The sequence below is a fragment of the Homo sapiens genome, chromosome 3 (genome assembly GCF_000001405.40).
Source record: "Homo sapiens chromosome 3, GRCh38.p14 Primary Assembly".
Classification (NCBI taxonomy): domain Eukaryota; kingdom Metazoa; phylum Chordata; class Mammalia; order Primates; family Hominidae; genus Homo; species Homo sapiens.
In genome coordinates this window covers 43,465,751-43,482,848 of record NC_000003.12, presented here as the reverse complement: position 1 = coordinate 43,482,848, position 17,098 = coordinate 43,465,751, and the positions used below count along the sequence as shown (strand labels likewise).

The following is a 17,098-nucleotide window of genomic DNA, read 5'->3' as shown; positions in this document are numbered from 1 at the left end:
CTGCCCAGTGGTGAGCACATGAGCACCCAGCCTAGGCTCCACCCTGCAACCCATCCTTGCAAGGTTTGAAATTGCCTCAAAGAGTAGTCTGTTTTGGTCTGGCTGCTCTCCCAGATTGAAGGGATGTGAGATTAGGAGCTATTGGCCAAGGCCTTTTTGGTCACACAGTCTGGGACTCAGAGAGAGCCCCTCAGAAGCTAGAGAGAAGTAGAAGTAGGAACTCAGCAGAGAAGAGGCTTCAGGGTCATGCCTGGCCATCTTTGACTATTGGAAGGTTAGTGTGTTTACCTGGGTATGGTGTTTTGGGGGGCATAACTGTGTTGGGAGCAGTTCCTAAGGGCAGAGTTGTTCACAGTTCACATAGCAGGTGTCACACTGGGGAGCAGGTGGCATATTAGATGATTGTTCAGGCACTTCCAATCCTGAGATCCCATGGTTCTCTAAAGGCATGTCAATGAAAAGAGTCAAACTCTGTGAAGTATTTGAAGAGACTTATTCTGAGCCAAATATGAGTGACCAATGGCTCATGACACAGCCCCAGGAGATCCTGAGAACATGTGCCCAAGGTAGTTGGGCTACAGCTTGGTTTTATACATTATAGGGAGACATAAGACATCAATTGGCTGGGGGCGGTGGCTCACACCTATAATCCCAGCACTTTGGGAGGCCAAGGCAGGCGGATCACGAGGTCAGGAGATCAAGACCATCCTGGCTAACACGGCGAAACCCTGTCTCTACTGAAAATACAAAAAATTAGCTGGGGGTGGTGGCACGCACCTGTAGTCCCAGCTACTCGGGAGGCTGAGGCAGGAGAATTACTTAAACCCAGGAGGCGAAGGTTGCAGTGAGCTGAGATCACACCACTGCACTCCAGCCTGGGTGACAAGAGCAAGACTCTGTCTCAAAAAAAAAAAAAAAAAAGAAAAAAAAAGAAAAAAGACATCAATCAATACATACAAGATGTACACTGGTTTAGTCCAAAAGGTTCTCTGAGGTTCAGGCACTGTGGACTGTCATTTTAGTGTGATTTGGAAAGCCTCTGGCTTCCAGGTCATAGGTGGATTAAAAGATTTTCTGACTGGCAATTGGTTGAAAGAGTTATTATCTAAAAACATGAAAATCAGTAGAAGGGACTGTCTGGGTTAAGATTAAGTGATTGTTGAGACCAGGGTTTTATCATGCAGATGAAGCCTCCAGATAGTGGGCTTCAGAAATAATAGATTGTAAATGTTTCCTATCATTTCTGTCAGTCTTAAGGTCTCTGTTTTGATGTTAATGCTGGTCAGCTGGGCCTGAATTCCAAAGGGAGGAGGGTATAATGAGGCATGTTCAACCCCCCATGTCCCATCATGGCCTGAACTAGTTTTTCAGGTTAGCTTTGGAATGCCCTTGGCTGAGTGAAGGACCCTCAGTCAGATGGGGAGCTTAGAATTTTATTTTTGGTTTATAGGCACAAATTGAGTATCAGTCTTAGTACCTGGCATAATTTAAAAACTACATTTTACTCATTTTTTTCACTTACAGTTGACCAAGCAAATTCAGCTTTTTTATCTAATCATATTTTGTTTTTATAAAAGTAATTCATATAAATAATTTTAAAGGTCAAATATTCCTTTAAGAGTAATAACAAAAGAATGGGTCTCTGCCCTTTCCCAATTTCCTAGAGTATATGACTCAAATTTTTAGCCCTTTTTCTGCTGTTTACCTCTATATTTCTAAATACTATGTCTTTCAGTTTTATTGACTCTCTACTATAAAATATGAATGTTTTTATGTTCCATCTTGCCAGTGTAATTTCACATCACAACTTTTGGTTAAATCAGTGATTGTATTGTTATACAATTAGTATATTGTATTATTATACAATTATTATACAATAATACAATGTAGTGGTTGTATTATTATGCACATTGTATTTGTAGATAAGTACGTAGTGTGCCATGATTATGTTTCCTTAAGCATAATTGAGTTGAAAACGGCCTTGTTTTTTCTTTGTTTGGTTTCTGTGTACCTATCATTGATTCTTTCCTAAACATAGTGTGCTTAAACACACCAGACAGCCTCTCAGTGTGTTGTGTTGTTTTCCTTGGAGAGGGTATTTCTGGAACTGTGGTGTTCCCTTCCCATTTGGGCAGTTCACCTCCAGACTGGCTGCAGGGTTTCTGTCCTCACTTCCCAACTTCTTGGGAATTCACTTGGCTTCTCGTTTACCACCCCTTTCTTGTAACCCCCTCCTTTATCTTGGCAGGTTCATGAGAGATAGTTTGGAATCTTGCATATCTGCAGACATCTTTATGCCCATCTGCCCTCCAAATTTGGAAGACATTACCCATTGCCTCTAACATTGCTGTTGAGAGCCTAATGCCAGCCTGACCCCTGATCCTTTACACGGGGTCTGTTCATTCTCTCTGGAAGCTTTCACAGTCTTCTCTTTATCCCTGGTGTCTGACATTTCACAATGATATGCCTTTGTGGTCTCCTCGATCAGAGGGACTTAACACTTGCAGACACCTGTTCTTCAGTTCTGTGAAATCCTTGAATTATTTCTTTGAGAATTATCTTTTCTCCATGTTCTATCTTTATTTCTGGCCCTCTGTTGCATTTTCTGGACTTACCATTTGTTGTATGTTTTCCCCCTATTTTTGTGTCTCCTTGTTTGTTTGGGTTCTTCTGTCTATTTTGAGATTTTCTCAACTGTATTTCCCAATTCTTCTATTGAATGTCAGCAATCATAAGTTTAGTATCCAAGAGCTCTTTTTTATTCTCTGAATGTTCCCACCTCCTTTTAGAAAATAGCATTCTGTACTTTATTTCATGAATGCAGTATTATCCCTCTGTACTTTTCTTCTGATCTCTGCTTTGTCTCTGTTTCCTCCTAATTCCTCTTTTAGTGGAAAGGCGTTTTCATTATTGTGTTACTGCCCCTGGTGCTGCCTGTAGTTCAGTCTCACTTGATAGGAAGTCTTGTGTCTTCCACTGGATGAGAGAGGGGATGGGACTTTGAAGGATAGAGAGGGGTCAAGGAGTGTCTTCTGCCCTTCTGCAGCCGTTCTGAGGTCCTAGGCTCTATCTCCTGGGGTTCTCCAAGGCCCAGGCACTGTGGGCTATCATTTTATGGTGATTCAGAAGGAGGGGAGAGCAGACGTAAGTTCATCTGTTTAATCCAGAAGTCTCCCAGGTCTCCAGGTCCCAGTATTACACTTTGACTTTAACCATTTGGTAATTAACTTTTCTCCTACTTAGTCTATCCACTTAGAAATGTCTGCAGCCTTCAACTTTCCTTTTTCCCTCCCTCCTTTCCTTCCTTTCAAAAAGCTCTCTTCAGGGCAGATGTACCAATCACATTTCATTAGAGGTCTTTACTTCTCTGGTTCTTTTTTATTGTTGAGTACTGTGAATTTGGTAATTTTTCATAGATTATTGAACTTTAGATTGACCAACTTCTGAATTAATAAATATATCAAAGTTTAATATTTATTTTTTATTTCTAACTTCACCTACTTGAAAAAGAAAGCAACAACAATGTTTAAAATGTAAATAGGATAATTAGGTATAGAAACTTTCAGAGAACATCTGGGATAACAGGGACTGTGTGTTTTTACCACATGAGACATGATACAGCTTTTATACAATTAGGCCTTAATGCTTGCTCTTATATTTTCATGTTAGCACGAGTGAAAAGGAAAAGGTAGTGCCTCTTTTCTGTTATTAAACAAAAGGATCAGGGAACCTTGATTAACACAATAATCTATGCACGAGTGAAAAGGAAAAGGTAGTGCCTCTTTTCTGTTATTAAACAAAAGGATCAGGGAACCTTGATTAACACAATAATCTATGTCCTCAAGGATAGTTTTAGAAAACCATTCAGATGGTTCACTATAGTTTCTAAAGTGCCCTAACTTGTGGAGGCATTTCTGTAGGGGGCTATAATATTATAAAACAGGTACTTGGGTTTGCTTTTAGATGCTCTAACCTTAAAATGGAGACAATTTGGAAGTCTAAGGATATATCAGACTTTTTAAAAACTATTTGACTTCTCAAGCTTTTGCCAAATGTTTGATCACAGTCAATTTATTATTGAATTATCTGCTACATATGTATGGTGTGAATAATCTGTGTTTGAAAATGAGAAAAATTGTACTGTGTCAAATATGAATACTACATAGGAGTGAGAGCTAAGCATTAATGTAAATTAATTACTTGTGCCAAAGACTTCTCCCCACTAGGAGGACAGCCTGTGTTAGCACAAGCATAAACCATCAGAGTAGACAGAGCCACTATTTTTCTGATTGTGATGATGTTGGAATTTCTCACTCACACATAGTCACTACAGTGAAATGAAAAAAGCATGGGTCCTGGAGTCAGACAGCTAAGATCCTGGCTTCAGATCTCACTAGCTAGGGGAAGTTACTTTCCAGACCTTAATTTCTTAATCTATAAAATGGGTGGTTAAAGTCCCTACTTTAAAGGGTTTGTTAGGATTGGGCTTTTCATTTATAAAACACATAGCACAGTGGTGAGGTCATAATAGATGGCTGCTGTTTTTTAGGTTGCTGATTTCAGAATTATCATTTTGCATAGAAGAGGCAACTTTGACAAGGACATTTTAAGGCATCTGTTCTGACTAACCCCAACTTCCATCTCCAGAACCTCACTCCATGTGGCTTGTATAGACAGCTCACTAACTCTGTGACCTTGGCCAGGATACGTAACCTCTCTGATCCTCAGTTTCCTTATCTGTCAAATGGGAATAAATGTAGTTTCTGCCTCATAGGGCTGTTGTGAGCATTAAATGAGTAAATATATGAAAAGCACTTAGAATAGGGCCTGGCACAAGGTAAGCATTGTGGTAAAGTGTGAACTGAAAAAACAGAGACTACTTCCTTAGAGATGGGCCATTGGGAAATCACTTCTCAACATTCCTCCCTCACTCCCTATGTGTGCCTCTGGTGTGCAGGTTGGCGGGCCCCTGCCAAAGTCAAAGAGGTCTGTCCAATTGTAAGTGATAATGGCTCTTTTTTCTGCCCGTAATGAGCAACAGGCACCTTCTATGTTAAGATTATGCCTTGCCCAAACAGGAAGGCCACGTCACCTTCGCGTCTTCCTGTGTGCTATTGTGTGTGAACACACCCAAGGTCGACTGACAGTATAGGGGATGTTAGAACATTTAAGATGAGGGGTAATTTGTCATCAGGCTATTCCCTCCTGCTCTGAGCTTACCACAAGTACAGTATTATGGTCCAGGATCCAAGGAAGCATTACGAGTTTTAGATCTGTGCTCAGATTGTTCCGTTTGATTTGCAAATGACTTTTATGCAATGACATTTTGATTTAGCACTTAAAATATAACACGTCAGCTGTTATTAACAATTATCTTAATAAAATGAAATGGAAGGTAATAGATGGAGTACGTCTTGCTTCATTTTCTGTCCATACCACTTAGGACAGTCCCTAGCATATGGTAGATGCTCAGTAAATGTTTGTTTGAGTAAGTAATTTATAAATTATTTTCATATTCATTAATAAAAAGGGAGAGGTGGTACATCTTTTTTGTGCATCTGCCTAAGTTTTATCCACTACAATACCTTTGATATTATTCTAGCTTTTCTTAACAGTTACAATAATACTGTATCTTCTCAACATCATATCATCTCAATATGCTGATCAGTTTTAATTTGAGGGATAATGAAAGATTTCTCTATTTGTAAACCAGTAGATAAATAACAGGGCTTGTCTCTAGGGAGAATACTGAAAGATGGTAGAGGGGTGCAGAGCAGGAATGGATGGAAGATCTTTTCTGTATATTCTTTGTCTTTATTTTTTAAAACTATGTATACACATTACTTTCTCAAATAAAAGAAATTTTACCCATGGTAAAAGAAAAAAAAACTCTTGTATCTGCCCACTGTGGAGATCTGCCTGCATTGAATAGTACAGGGAAATTACTTATTGATCGGCAAATTGCTTATTGATTGGCAAGGTTTGCTATGTTTTCTTTCTTCTTTCAAAATACATGCTATGGTCATGCATGAATTCGGGGATAGTCTTCATTTTCTTTGAGCAGTTACTCTTAGGCTATCTCATTATTTTAATGTTTATTAGTGGTATAGCTTGCTCATACTAAGTTCCACAAAGTGATCTAACTCAAGATTTCTTGGGAAGATGGTGAAGTAAGGGAAAAAACCGATAAAAACTACAAAGAAAAAGGAAAGTAAGGAGAAAACTCCATAAACCAAGAAAAGGAAAAGGAGAAAACAGGGAGCTGGCAGGGAAGTGGTGTCCGTTGCATTCTACAGGTGTTGAGAAGTTTTTATCTGATATAACATGAAGGACAGACCAACTTCAGGAAGACACCAAGAACCAGCCAATGTCTTCCCTTCCTGAGACAATTGGTGGGATGACATGAGAAATGAATTTAACAAATGCTAGTAGACCACTACAGACCCCACTAATTGGAGATCAAAAGCAGGCCTAGAAGAGGTAGAGACTCTTTCTACCTTAGGATTCAGTAACATTCACAGAATGGGTACATGGATATCACCAAGATAAACTGAAAACTTGGGGGCAACCTTCAGGTCTACCAACAATTATTTTTTGGAATTTTCTTCTGTTCCCCTTTGGTTTTTATTTAGACATGATTAAATACATGATAATTTTAGGGGGAAAGTAGATAAGCTAACAGAAAAAAATACTGTAAAACCCAGAAAAAAATACTGTAAAACTAGTTAACATTATAAAATGACAATATGAGCAAACAGTGTATCAAAATATATGATTCTGAAGTAAATCACATAGAATAAATATGAGATAATGGCCATGGACATTTTTGAAGAAAATAAAGCCACAATAACTGAAAAATTATGATAATGGCACCAGAATAAATAGATAAATAGAACAGATCATAAATTCCATGAACTGTCAAAAGTATAGATACATACAAATTTGTAGGCCAGGTGTGGTGGTTCACACCTGTAATCCCAGCACTTTGGGAGGCTGAAGTGGGCAGATCACTCGAGGTCAGGAGTTCAAGACCAGCCTGGCCAACATGGTGAAACCCCATCTCTACTAAAAAATAAAAAAAACTTTGCCAGGTGTGGTAGCACATGCCTGTAATCCCGGCTGCTCCGGAGGCTGATGCAGGAGACTGTCCTGAACCCAGGAGGCAGAGGTTGCAGTGAGCCAAGGTTGCGCCATTGCACTCCAGCCTAGGCAACACAGCAAGACTTCATCTCAAAAACAAAACAAAACAAAAACAAAGAACCCCCCCCACAAATTTGTGATAGGCATTTTTTGCCAGTAGAAAAATGATTGATTAGGTATTAAATGTTGCTGGGACAAATGGCAAGCCATTTGGGGAGAGTGGATAAAGCCTCCCCTTTTTTAAAGTACACACTGAAATGAAATTCAGTCAAGTTAAATATATGAATATAACAAATTAAAACCATAAAAGGACTGGAAAGAATTATAGGTGAATATTTATCTGATCTTTGGGTGGGGAGACCTTGACTATAAGAATGACACCAAAGAGAGAAACTGTAAGAAAAAAAATTCACAGGTTCTTCACGCTAATGTTGTGTGTAAGGTTCAAGACCGAGAAGGAGCTATATGTCCAACATTAGATAATTGAATAAATGTTGACCCATCCTTATAATGGTATATCTTGCCACTATAAACATAAAACTGTATGTAAGTATTTATCCTTGGAAAGACAGCCGTGACATAGTGCTAAGTGAAAAGCTTATAAAGGCATGTATATAGATGTTTGCTTTTGTATAAATGGCCTGGGCAGATATAATCCAATGTTAACACCAGTAGTTTTCTCTGGCTATTAAGATTTGGGTAATTTATTTATTTTGGCTTTTCTGTGTTTCTTTCTTTTCTCCTACTATAGTGATTATATATTTAAATAATCATGTCTAGTTAAAAACCAAAGGACAAAAAAAAATTCTACAAAATAATTAGTGATAATAAAATCAGAGAGAAAACTGAGCTTCAAACTCCCCTCTTGACTAGATTAGATAGATAGATTTCTTAGAAAGATTTTGGGGACCATCTGTTTTGTTGCATGATAACAGCATTTCTTTATGTGGCAACTTGAATCTGTAATGACCATAAATGCAAATTTCTTTAAACATAAAAATCAAATACATGTATTCATTCTAAAATACCACTAAAGGTCATATTTTTAAATGATGATTTATTATAGTTGACATTTGACTTATTTATACATTCATTCTTTTTAAACAGTGTTTGTTTTAATTTTTCTGAATTAAACATCAAAGAGCTGTTTTAAAATACAAATTTATTATGGACAACCAAAGTTAATGAATATGTCTCTTAATGAGAGCTTTGGCTAAGCCAGTTTAAAACATTTACAAGTCAAAAATGTAATCAAGGAGAGATTGTTTTAGTTTATTGTCCACCAAGAAGCTTAGCTGCCAGCAAGAAAAACTCTCATTTTCTGGGGAAATGTTGCTCCTCCTGCTTTGAGCTCTGCAATGTTTTATCGACTTGGAAAAACAACATATTAGTTTTGATAATCAATCCTGATAAAGTCCTCTGAGCCCATCAGTTTTCTCTTGTGAGCTGACAATCTTCTAATGTGAAAAAGGAAGAAATTGGGGTTGGGGGGGGCGGGGAAGTACTGAAACTTGCAGCAAGTGGTATGACCACGTGTAATCAGTCTTATATAGCCCTTTATATCCTAGGTGGAAATCAATAATCATCATTTTGCCTTTGCTTGAAATTGCTTTATACCAAAACCAAAAAGGCCTCTGTTATACCACTTTCTCTCAGTTGCACACAATATAAAAATGCTCTTTGGATCATTCCAAAACTGTATACACATGCTGGCTGGGAGGAATGAATGACTGTGTGTGTTTGCTCTGAACCCTCCTCAGCCCAGCTGTGTTGTCACTTGGGCTGCACTCTCACTGTCATCACCAGGCCTCTGTCACTGACTCCAGACCTCTCCATCTTCAGGGGTTGTAATTTTCTTTGTATAGCCTTCCCCACAACCCCACCCAATAATTGCCATTTGTTTAAGAATACCTCAGGATCATTCATTCATTTATTCAATGTTGAAGTGCTGCTGAACATCCTATGACGTCCAGGGCAGCTCCCCACAACAAAGAATTTTCCAGTCTAAAATGTCAGCAGTGCTGAGGTTGAGAAACGCTGAGGTTGAGAAACCTTCAGTTAAATCAACTATTTTCTTCAGCATGTCTAGGAACAGTATTGGGCATAAAGTGGTAGAAGAGCGAATGGGATTTCTTTCCTACCATTCTGGTAAATTGACACATGAGAAAAGTCAACAGATAACAAATAATGACAGTGGCATGTGGGAGAGGCGCGTGTGGCACTGAGAGCACAGGGGTGGTCATGCTCTCTCTGACTGTGCCTGTAGGGCTCAGAGCATTCCAGACCAGCTTTATCATGGTAGGCAAGGGGAGCAAGTAGAGTGACGTGGCAGGAGCCTAGCAGTGAGGAAGAACGTGGCTTATGACATCCAGGAGGAGAGTGTAGACGGCGCTGGGCATGGAATCAGGCCAGCAAAGCGGACAGTGTCTCGTCATGAGAGATCCAATACTGGGCACTGATCACGTTTAAAAGAGACCAGAGAGACATAATCAAATGCTGTGCATGAATTTTGACTAGATTCTGTCTAGTAGGAAAACAGCTATAAAAAAAAAAGACATTTTGGACCAAAAATCTTCCAGAGAGGATTTCACAACACACTGATTTGCCAAGATTAGTTTTGTGAATGATTTCTCTCCACTTATTACTTTGAAATTTTCAAATATACAGAAATGCTAAAAGTTCAGTGAATAGTTGTATGCCTTTAACCCAAATTCTGTAGTTGTCATTCATATTTATCATTTTGCTTATATTTGCTTTATTTTTATGTATATACATGCACATACAGACCATACAGATAAAAACACAACTTTTTAAAAAATGAACTTCTTGAAAGTAAGGTGCAGACATCAAGGCAATTTACCTAAATATTTCAGCATACATCTCCTAAGAATAAGGATAGTCTCCTATTTAATCCCATTGCCATTATCACATTATGAAAATTAACAAGAATTTCATAATTTCCTCTAAAATCTGGTCTATATTTACATTTCCCCAATTGTCTTCCAAAAATTTTTTTTATAGCAATTTTTCCTCCTACGTCAAATAGGAAGAGCCAGTCAAAATTCATTGCATTTGGTTGTTATGCCTCTTTGGTCTCTCTCTCTGTCTTTTTTTTTGGCTAGTCAAGTGCAGTAGTGAGAAGGGTGGGGAAAGAGTGGAACAAGGAGTTCGATCTGTAACTGACCATGAACGATCAACTGAGATAACTCACTGTGATAACTTCAGACCCTCTTTTTTGGTGTCTTTTAAACTTGAACAGTCCTATCACCCTTTCCCCCTACCCACCATATCAGTGACTTTTTTTCATTTTAAAAATTTTAAGGGTTTTTTAAAAAATTTACATACAGGAAAAGTCATACTTTTTGGTGTAAAGACCTGTGTGTTTTTGTATTAATTCATGTAATAATAATCAAAATTAAGAAATAGAACAGTTTCATCCTCCTTTCCAAATTTCCCTCCATTGTCAAACTCTCTCCCTACCCTTAACCACTAATCTGTTCTCTCTCCCTACGAGTTTTGCCTTTCTCAGAGTATCATATAAATGGAATCATATAGTACATAGGCTCTTAAGTCTGTTTGTTTTTCACTTGGCATAATGCATTTGAGATTCATCCATGTTATTGCATTTATCAATAGTTTGTTCCTTTTTTGTTGCAGAGTAGTGTACTATCGTGTGGATATACCACAGCTTGTTTTTCCATTCTGTAGAAGAGGAATATTTTGATTTTTTTTCCAGCCTTTGTGATTTTGAATAGAGCTGCCATAAACATTTGACCTTTTTTTCATCCATTTATTTGTGATCTTCACTGATAAAGTAGCCATGACATTGATTTTTGAAGAGGCAAGGTCAGCTTGCCTGTAGATTGTTCCACAGTGTGGATTTGATTGTTTCCTATGATGTTTTGTTTCACTTTTCTTAAAAAGAAATTTTTTTTAGGGATGGGGTCTCACTGTGTCACTCAGGCTGGAGTGCAGTGGCACTATCATGGCTTACTGCAGCCTCAAACTCCTGGGCTCAAGTGATCCTCCTGCCTCAGCCTCTTGAGTAGCATGTCCAGCTTGCTTTGTTTTCTTTTTCTTTCTTTTTTAAATACTTGCTCCTCTGTCACTGTATTATATTGGAAATTGTGTCTAGAAGCTTGGGATTTCATCATAATATGGGAGTACCTATGGGAGCGTATCATTTGTAGGAATGTCTTCAAGAAAACTGGTTACATGTGGAATTTAACACCCTTGATGTTCACCCAGACGCCCTGAACACTCCTCCTCTGCGGCAGAGGGACATGATGAGGTTTTGGATCAAGAATAGAAAATCTAGACTTGCAAGGAATATTCCATTTCCTAAGCATTGAATTTTAAAACTTTGTCTCTTCCTAAATAAGAGATATTTTATGGCAAGCAAGTAAGGAAAAAATAAATCTTTTATTTATACTTGATTTTTTTCCTAATGTTTCTGTTTTAATTGGATATACTTTTTCTGTTAGTTAAAACTGGGGTTGAGTGTTTGATGTTTTTATAAATAGGTTTCCAACTGGGGGAAAGTGTTTTCTAAATATTTTCTGGGTCACCACAGCAGTGTTATGTAAGAGAAGAAATCATTATAGCATCCTTCTAAAAATACTTTAATGGAAAATTATTCTACAACCAGACTATATCTGTTTAATGATGTAACATTAAACAGTCTTGATTTACAATGTAATTTATAAATTTATAAACTTAATTTTTTTAGAGCAGTCTTAGTTTTATAGAAAAATTATGCAGAACGTAGAATTACCATATATTGGCCAAGAGCGGTGGTGCACACCTGTAATCCCAGCACTTTGGGAATCAGAGGCAGGTGGATCATTTGAGTTCAGGAGCTTGAGATTAGCCTGGCAACATGGTAAAAACCACTCTCTATAAAAATCACAAAATTAGCTGTGTGTGTGGTGAGATGCGGCTGTACTCTCAGCTACTCAGGAAGCTGAGGTGAGAGGATTGCTTGAGCCCGGGAGGTTGAGGCTACAATATGCCAAGATTGCATTACTGCACTCCAGCCTGGATGACAAAGTGAAACTCTGCCTCAAAATAAATAAATACATAAATAAATAAATAAATAAATAAATAAATAAAATAATTACCAGGCCGAGGCAGGCAGATCATGAGGTCAGGAGATCGAGACCACGGTGAAACCCCGTCTCTACTAAAAATACAAAAAATTAGCCAGGCGCGCCTGTAGTCCCAGCTACTCAGGAGGCTGAGGCAGGAGAATAGCATGAACCCCGGAGGCGGAGCTTGCAGTGAGCCAAGAGTGCGCCACTGCACTCCAGCCTGGGCGACAGAACGAGACTCCGTCTCAAAAAGAAAAAACAAAAACAAAAGAATTACGATATATCTCCCATACTCCCCATAGCCCAAACAGGTTCCTCTGATCTTTTCACTGTCTCTATAGTTTTGCTTTTTCCAGAATGTTGGAATCATTCAGTAGGTAGCCTTTTCAGACCTGCTCCTTTTACTTAGCAGTATCCATTTAAGATTTCTCTATGTCTTTTCATGGTTTGATAGGTCATTTCTTCTTACCACTGAGTAATATGTCATTATATAACTATGCAACAGTTTGTTTATCAATTTATTTACTGAAAGACATTCTAATTGCTTCCAGTTTGGGCAATTATGAATAAAACTGTTATAAAGTAGAATGTAGTTTTTAAAATACAACTCCAATTGTTGATACTTCTCTGAAGTTCAGCAACATCTGCATTTGTTAAGCTTTACATTGACTGTTTACCCACAGTATGTCCAAGAATGTTTCCTGACAGCACTAGCCATCACAAAAGCAGATGATCAAATTCCTTGCCTCGTGGAGCTTCCTGTCTATCTAAGAAAGAGCTGGATTATATTTAAAATATATGTTTGTGGGTGTGTGGAATTAATATATATACAGACATATGTGAACCTCTACAAAAACTTTTAAAGACTCTAGTCATTAGAAGAAGATTAAACACTGAGTATAGAAGTATGTTTAAGGATAATGGGAGACTGAAGGCCATGGACTTCCTTAGTGGGGGTGTTCTGGAGAAGAAACCTTTGACTGTGATACCTGTGCAATGACCACCATGCATCTCTTGTTTAGGGTAGCTTCATTTATAAAGGTAAAAGCACTGGTTCTTGGCACTTCCAGAAGCCTTTAGAATTTTCACTCCTAACAGTGCAATTAATGAAACAACTGAACAGGACCTGGAATATTATAAAAGAGAATAGTGAAAGATTCTTGACAGGTCATGTGCCTTCAAGTCCTGTTAATTTGATGAATCAGTAGGAGATGAAATCAATATAAACCTGAAGGAATTGTCCGCGGGGCAAATCACTAAAAGCAGCTGATTAGGCCGGGCATGGTGGCTCACGCCTGTAATCCCAGCAGTTTGGGAGGCCAAGGTGGGTGGATCACGAGGTCAGGAGTTTGAGACCAGCCTGGCCAACATGGTGAAACCCCATGTCTACTAAAGATACAAAAAAAAAATTAGCCGGGCATGGTTGTGTGTGCCTGTAATTCCAGCTAGTCTGGAGGCTGAGGCAGGAGAATCGCTTGAACCTGGGAGGTGGAGGTTGCAGTGAGCCAAGATCGTGCCATTGCACTGTAGCCTGTGTGACAGGACAAGACTCCATCTCAAAAAAAAAAAAAAAAAAAAAAGCAGCTAATTGATGTAGGATTGAAAATCCAGCCAGGCGTGGTGGCTCACACCTGTAATCCCAGTACTTTGGGAGGCCGAGGTGGGTGGATCACGAGGTCAGGAGATTGAGACCATCCTGGCTAACACAGTGAAACCCTGTCTCTACTAAAAGTACAAAAACTTAGCCAGCCTTGGTGGCATGCAGCTGTAGCCCCAGCTACTCGGGAGGCTGAGGCAGGAGAATCACTTGAACCCAGGAGGCGGAGGTTGCAGTGAGCCGAGATCGCACTACTGCACTCCAGCCTGGGCAACAGAGCGAGACTCTGTCTCAAAAAAAAAAAAAAGAAAACAAAAAAAAGAAAACCCACTGAGATGTTTAGGGAAGAGATTTGAGTTACCACCACCACAGTCTGACCTGCTGAGATTGTTTAGTTTGAAGCCTGGATGCATTCATGAAAACAGGTGAAACATTGGGTGCTGTGGGAACTTTGTAAAGCTTGATTTACATTTAAAGTTTATGTGAGCTCCAGAAATCCCGAAAATTCACTGTTTTTTTGTACAGTCCTAGAAAGCCATGTGCACACATACCAGGCATATGGTGACAGTTCTTCCACTGGTGCAGCCTTTGCTCTGTCACTCTTTGACTCCTTCACAGGAAGCTTCCATCCTTCCAGGGCTCTTTCTGTTACAGGAAAGTGTTTTGGGTCAGAGATAAGCCTTTCAGCATTTCCCAAGGGCCCATGTGTCAATACTGTGCTGCACACTGGGGATGCCATGGTGACTGAAATAGTTGTGGAAATTATGAAACCAACTTGTAGAGTAGACCACTTTGTGAAATCCTTAAGGATTACCCACCTACCAGCATTGTGCCCACAGCAATTTTTTAAACACATAAGAAATCACTGCTAAAAATTATTAGACATTATGGCCAAAGCAGGAAAGTAATTTTGCTATGAAAGGAAAATAGCTTGTGGATTGAAAGGATTTATAATTAAAGCTTAAAATATGACCTAGATACTCACATTATACAACCCCAGGCACCACAAAAGAGTACTTATGCTCAATGCTAAGAACTCCATCACTGTGATGAAAGCTAAATAAAGTGTCAGTGTTTTTCCATGTAGTTTCATAGCTATAAATTGACTGGAAAACTCTAAATTCGTTTGTATTTTCTTTTAATTGTCTTTACAATTTGGTTTGTGAATCTCTCTGTCTGACATTGTATTTATTACTGTTGCAGTTAAAATTAGAAGAGTTAAGGAAGGATCACTGCATTATACCTTATGCACTATTCTTCATCAGCTTTCTTGAAGTATAATTTACATACAATAAAGAGGACCCATTTTAAATGTTCAGCTTGATAGGTCTCAACAATTGTATACATCCAAAATCACCACCACAAGAAGATTTAGAACATTTCTATCACTCTGGAAAGTTTCCTCCTCCCCTCTGCAATCAGTCCCTTCTACTCCCCAGCACAGGCTGTCACTGAAGTGCTTTCTTGTCACTACAGATGACAATGGCCTGTTACAGAAATTCATATAGATGGAATAACATAGTAAGTATTCTTTATATCTGGCTTTTTATTTAGCATAATGCTTTTGAGATTCATCCATGTCATTGCATGTAGCTTGTTGCTTTATATTGCTAAATATTTATTCCATTGTATGAATATACCATAGATTTCTTATCCATTCACCCATTAATGAACATTTGGGTTGTTTCCATATTTTTACCGTTATGAATGAGGCAGCAGTGAACATTCTTGTACCCATTTCTCATGTGCATATGTCTTTATTTCTCTTGGGTAAATACTTTAGTGGAATGACTGAGTCTTATGATAAGTATATATTTAACTTTATAAGAAATTTTCTAACTGTTTTATAGAGTGGTTTTAACATTTTACATAAACTTCAACCAGCAATGATTGAGAGTTCCAGTTGTTCTAAATCCTTGCAAATATTTGCCATTGTCAGTTTTTAGTTTTTTTAGCCATTCTGATAGATGCATTGATATTTCATTGTGATTTTAGTTTGCATTTCCCTGGCAACTAATGATGTTGAACATCTCTTCATGTGTTTATTAGCATACTATTTGTGAACATTCTGTTAAAGTTTTATGCTCATTTTTGTTGCACCATCTTTTCATTATTGAGTTTCATGTATTCTTTACATATTCAATACACAAGTTAATTGTCAAATATAATACATATATTGCAGATATTTTCCCCAGTGTATGATGTGCTTTTTCATTTACTTAACATAATGTGTTGAAGACAAATTTTTAATTTTTGGTAAAGTACAGTTTCTCGTTGTGTGTTTGTGATTATTGCTTTTTTATGTCTTGTCAGAAAAATCTTTGGTTACCCTAAGGTCCTGAAGATTTTCTTCAATGAGTTTTACAGTTTTAACTTTTACATTTATACCTATGATCCATTTCAAGTTAATTTTTGTTTATAGTATGAGAGAGAGGTTAAGGTTCATTGTTTTCCTATATGAATATCCAGTTGTTACTCTAGTCGTTTGTTTAAAAGACCCTTTTTTCTCATTGATTACTTTCGCACCTTGTCTACATTCATCTTGCCATATATGTGTGTCTCAATTTCAGGACTCTATTATATTCCATTTATATATCTATATTCTTATGTGTTGATTACTGGTTTTTTTGTTTGTTTTTTTTTTTTTTTTTTGAGATGGAGTCTTGCTCTGTCACCAGGCTGGAGTGCAGTGCAGTGATCTCGGCTCACTGCCACCTCTGCCTCCCGGGTTCAAGCGATTCCCCTGCCTCAGCCTCCCGAGTAGCTGGAACTACCGGCACGCACCACCACGCCTGGCTAATTTTTTGTATTTTAGTAGAGACAGGGTTTCACCATGTTGGCCGGGATGGTCTTGATCTCCTGACCTCATGATCCACCCTCCTCAGCCTCCCAAGGGTGCTGGGATTTCAGGCATGAGCTACCATGCCCAGCCCAATTACTGTTGTTTTAACTCTTCATGTCAGATAGTGTTAGTCCTGTAACTTTGTTCTTTTTTCAAGTTGTTTTGCCGTTCTGGATTCTCTGCATTCCCAGAGGAATTTTAAAATCAATTTGCTGATTCCTACAAAACTTTTTGAGACTGCATTTCATTAGATTGATTTGGAGAAGATAAACTGACATTTTAACAATATTGAATGTTCTAATTCATGAACTTTGTATATCTTTCCATTTATTTAGGTCCTCTTTAATTTTTCACAACAATATTTTATAGATTTATTTGACAGAATTTGTACATATTGTATTCATCCCTAAATATCCATTTCCAATTTTA

At 38.1% G+C, this 17,098-nt stretch overlaps 1 protein-coding gene across 17 annotated transcripts in view, besides 1 other annotated feature; it reads left to right on the top strand.

The window, feature by feature from the left end:
• The window catches only part of ANO10 (anoctamin 10), a 325,747-nt gene that overhangs the window by 208,746 nt on the left and 99,903 nt on the right, over positions 1-17,098 (top strand). For 2 of the 17 annotated variants that reach the window (XM_047448432.1, XM_024453616.2), the window contains one exon: positions 15,304-15,396. The exons of the other annotated variants lie outside the window; for them this stretch is intronic. In XM_047448432.1, coding sequence (XP_047304388.1) covers positions 15,304-15,381 — 78 coding nt within the window. In that variant the 3' untranslated portion in view covers positions 15,382-15,396. Of the gene's footprint in view, positions 1-15,303; positions 15,397-17,098 lie in introns of those variants that run through there. 17 annotated transcript variants of the gene reach the window in all.
• Positions 3,530-4,102: an enhancer, noted in NCBI's record as "OCT4-NANOG hESC enhancer chr3:43520239-43520811 (GRCh37/hg19 assembly coordinates)". NCBI's record gives its function as "activates a minimal SCP1, AML or CMV promoter by ChIP-STARR-seq in primed H9 embryonic stem cells {active_cell/tissue: H9 hESC(primed)}" and the evidence as "EXISTENCE:reporter gene assay evidence [ECO:0000049][PMID:30033119]".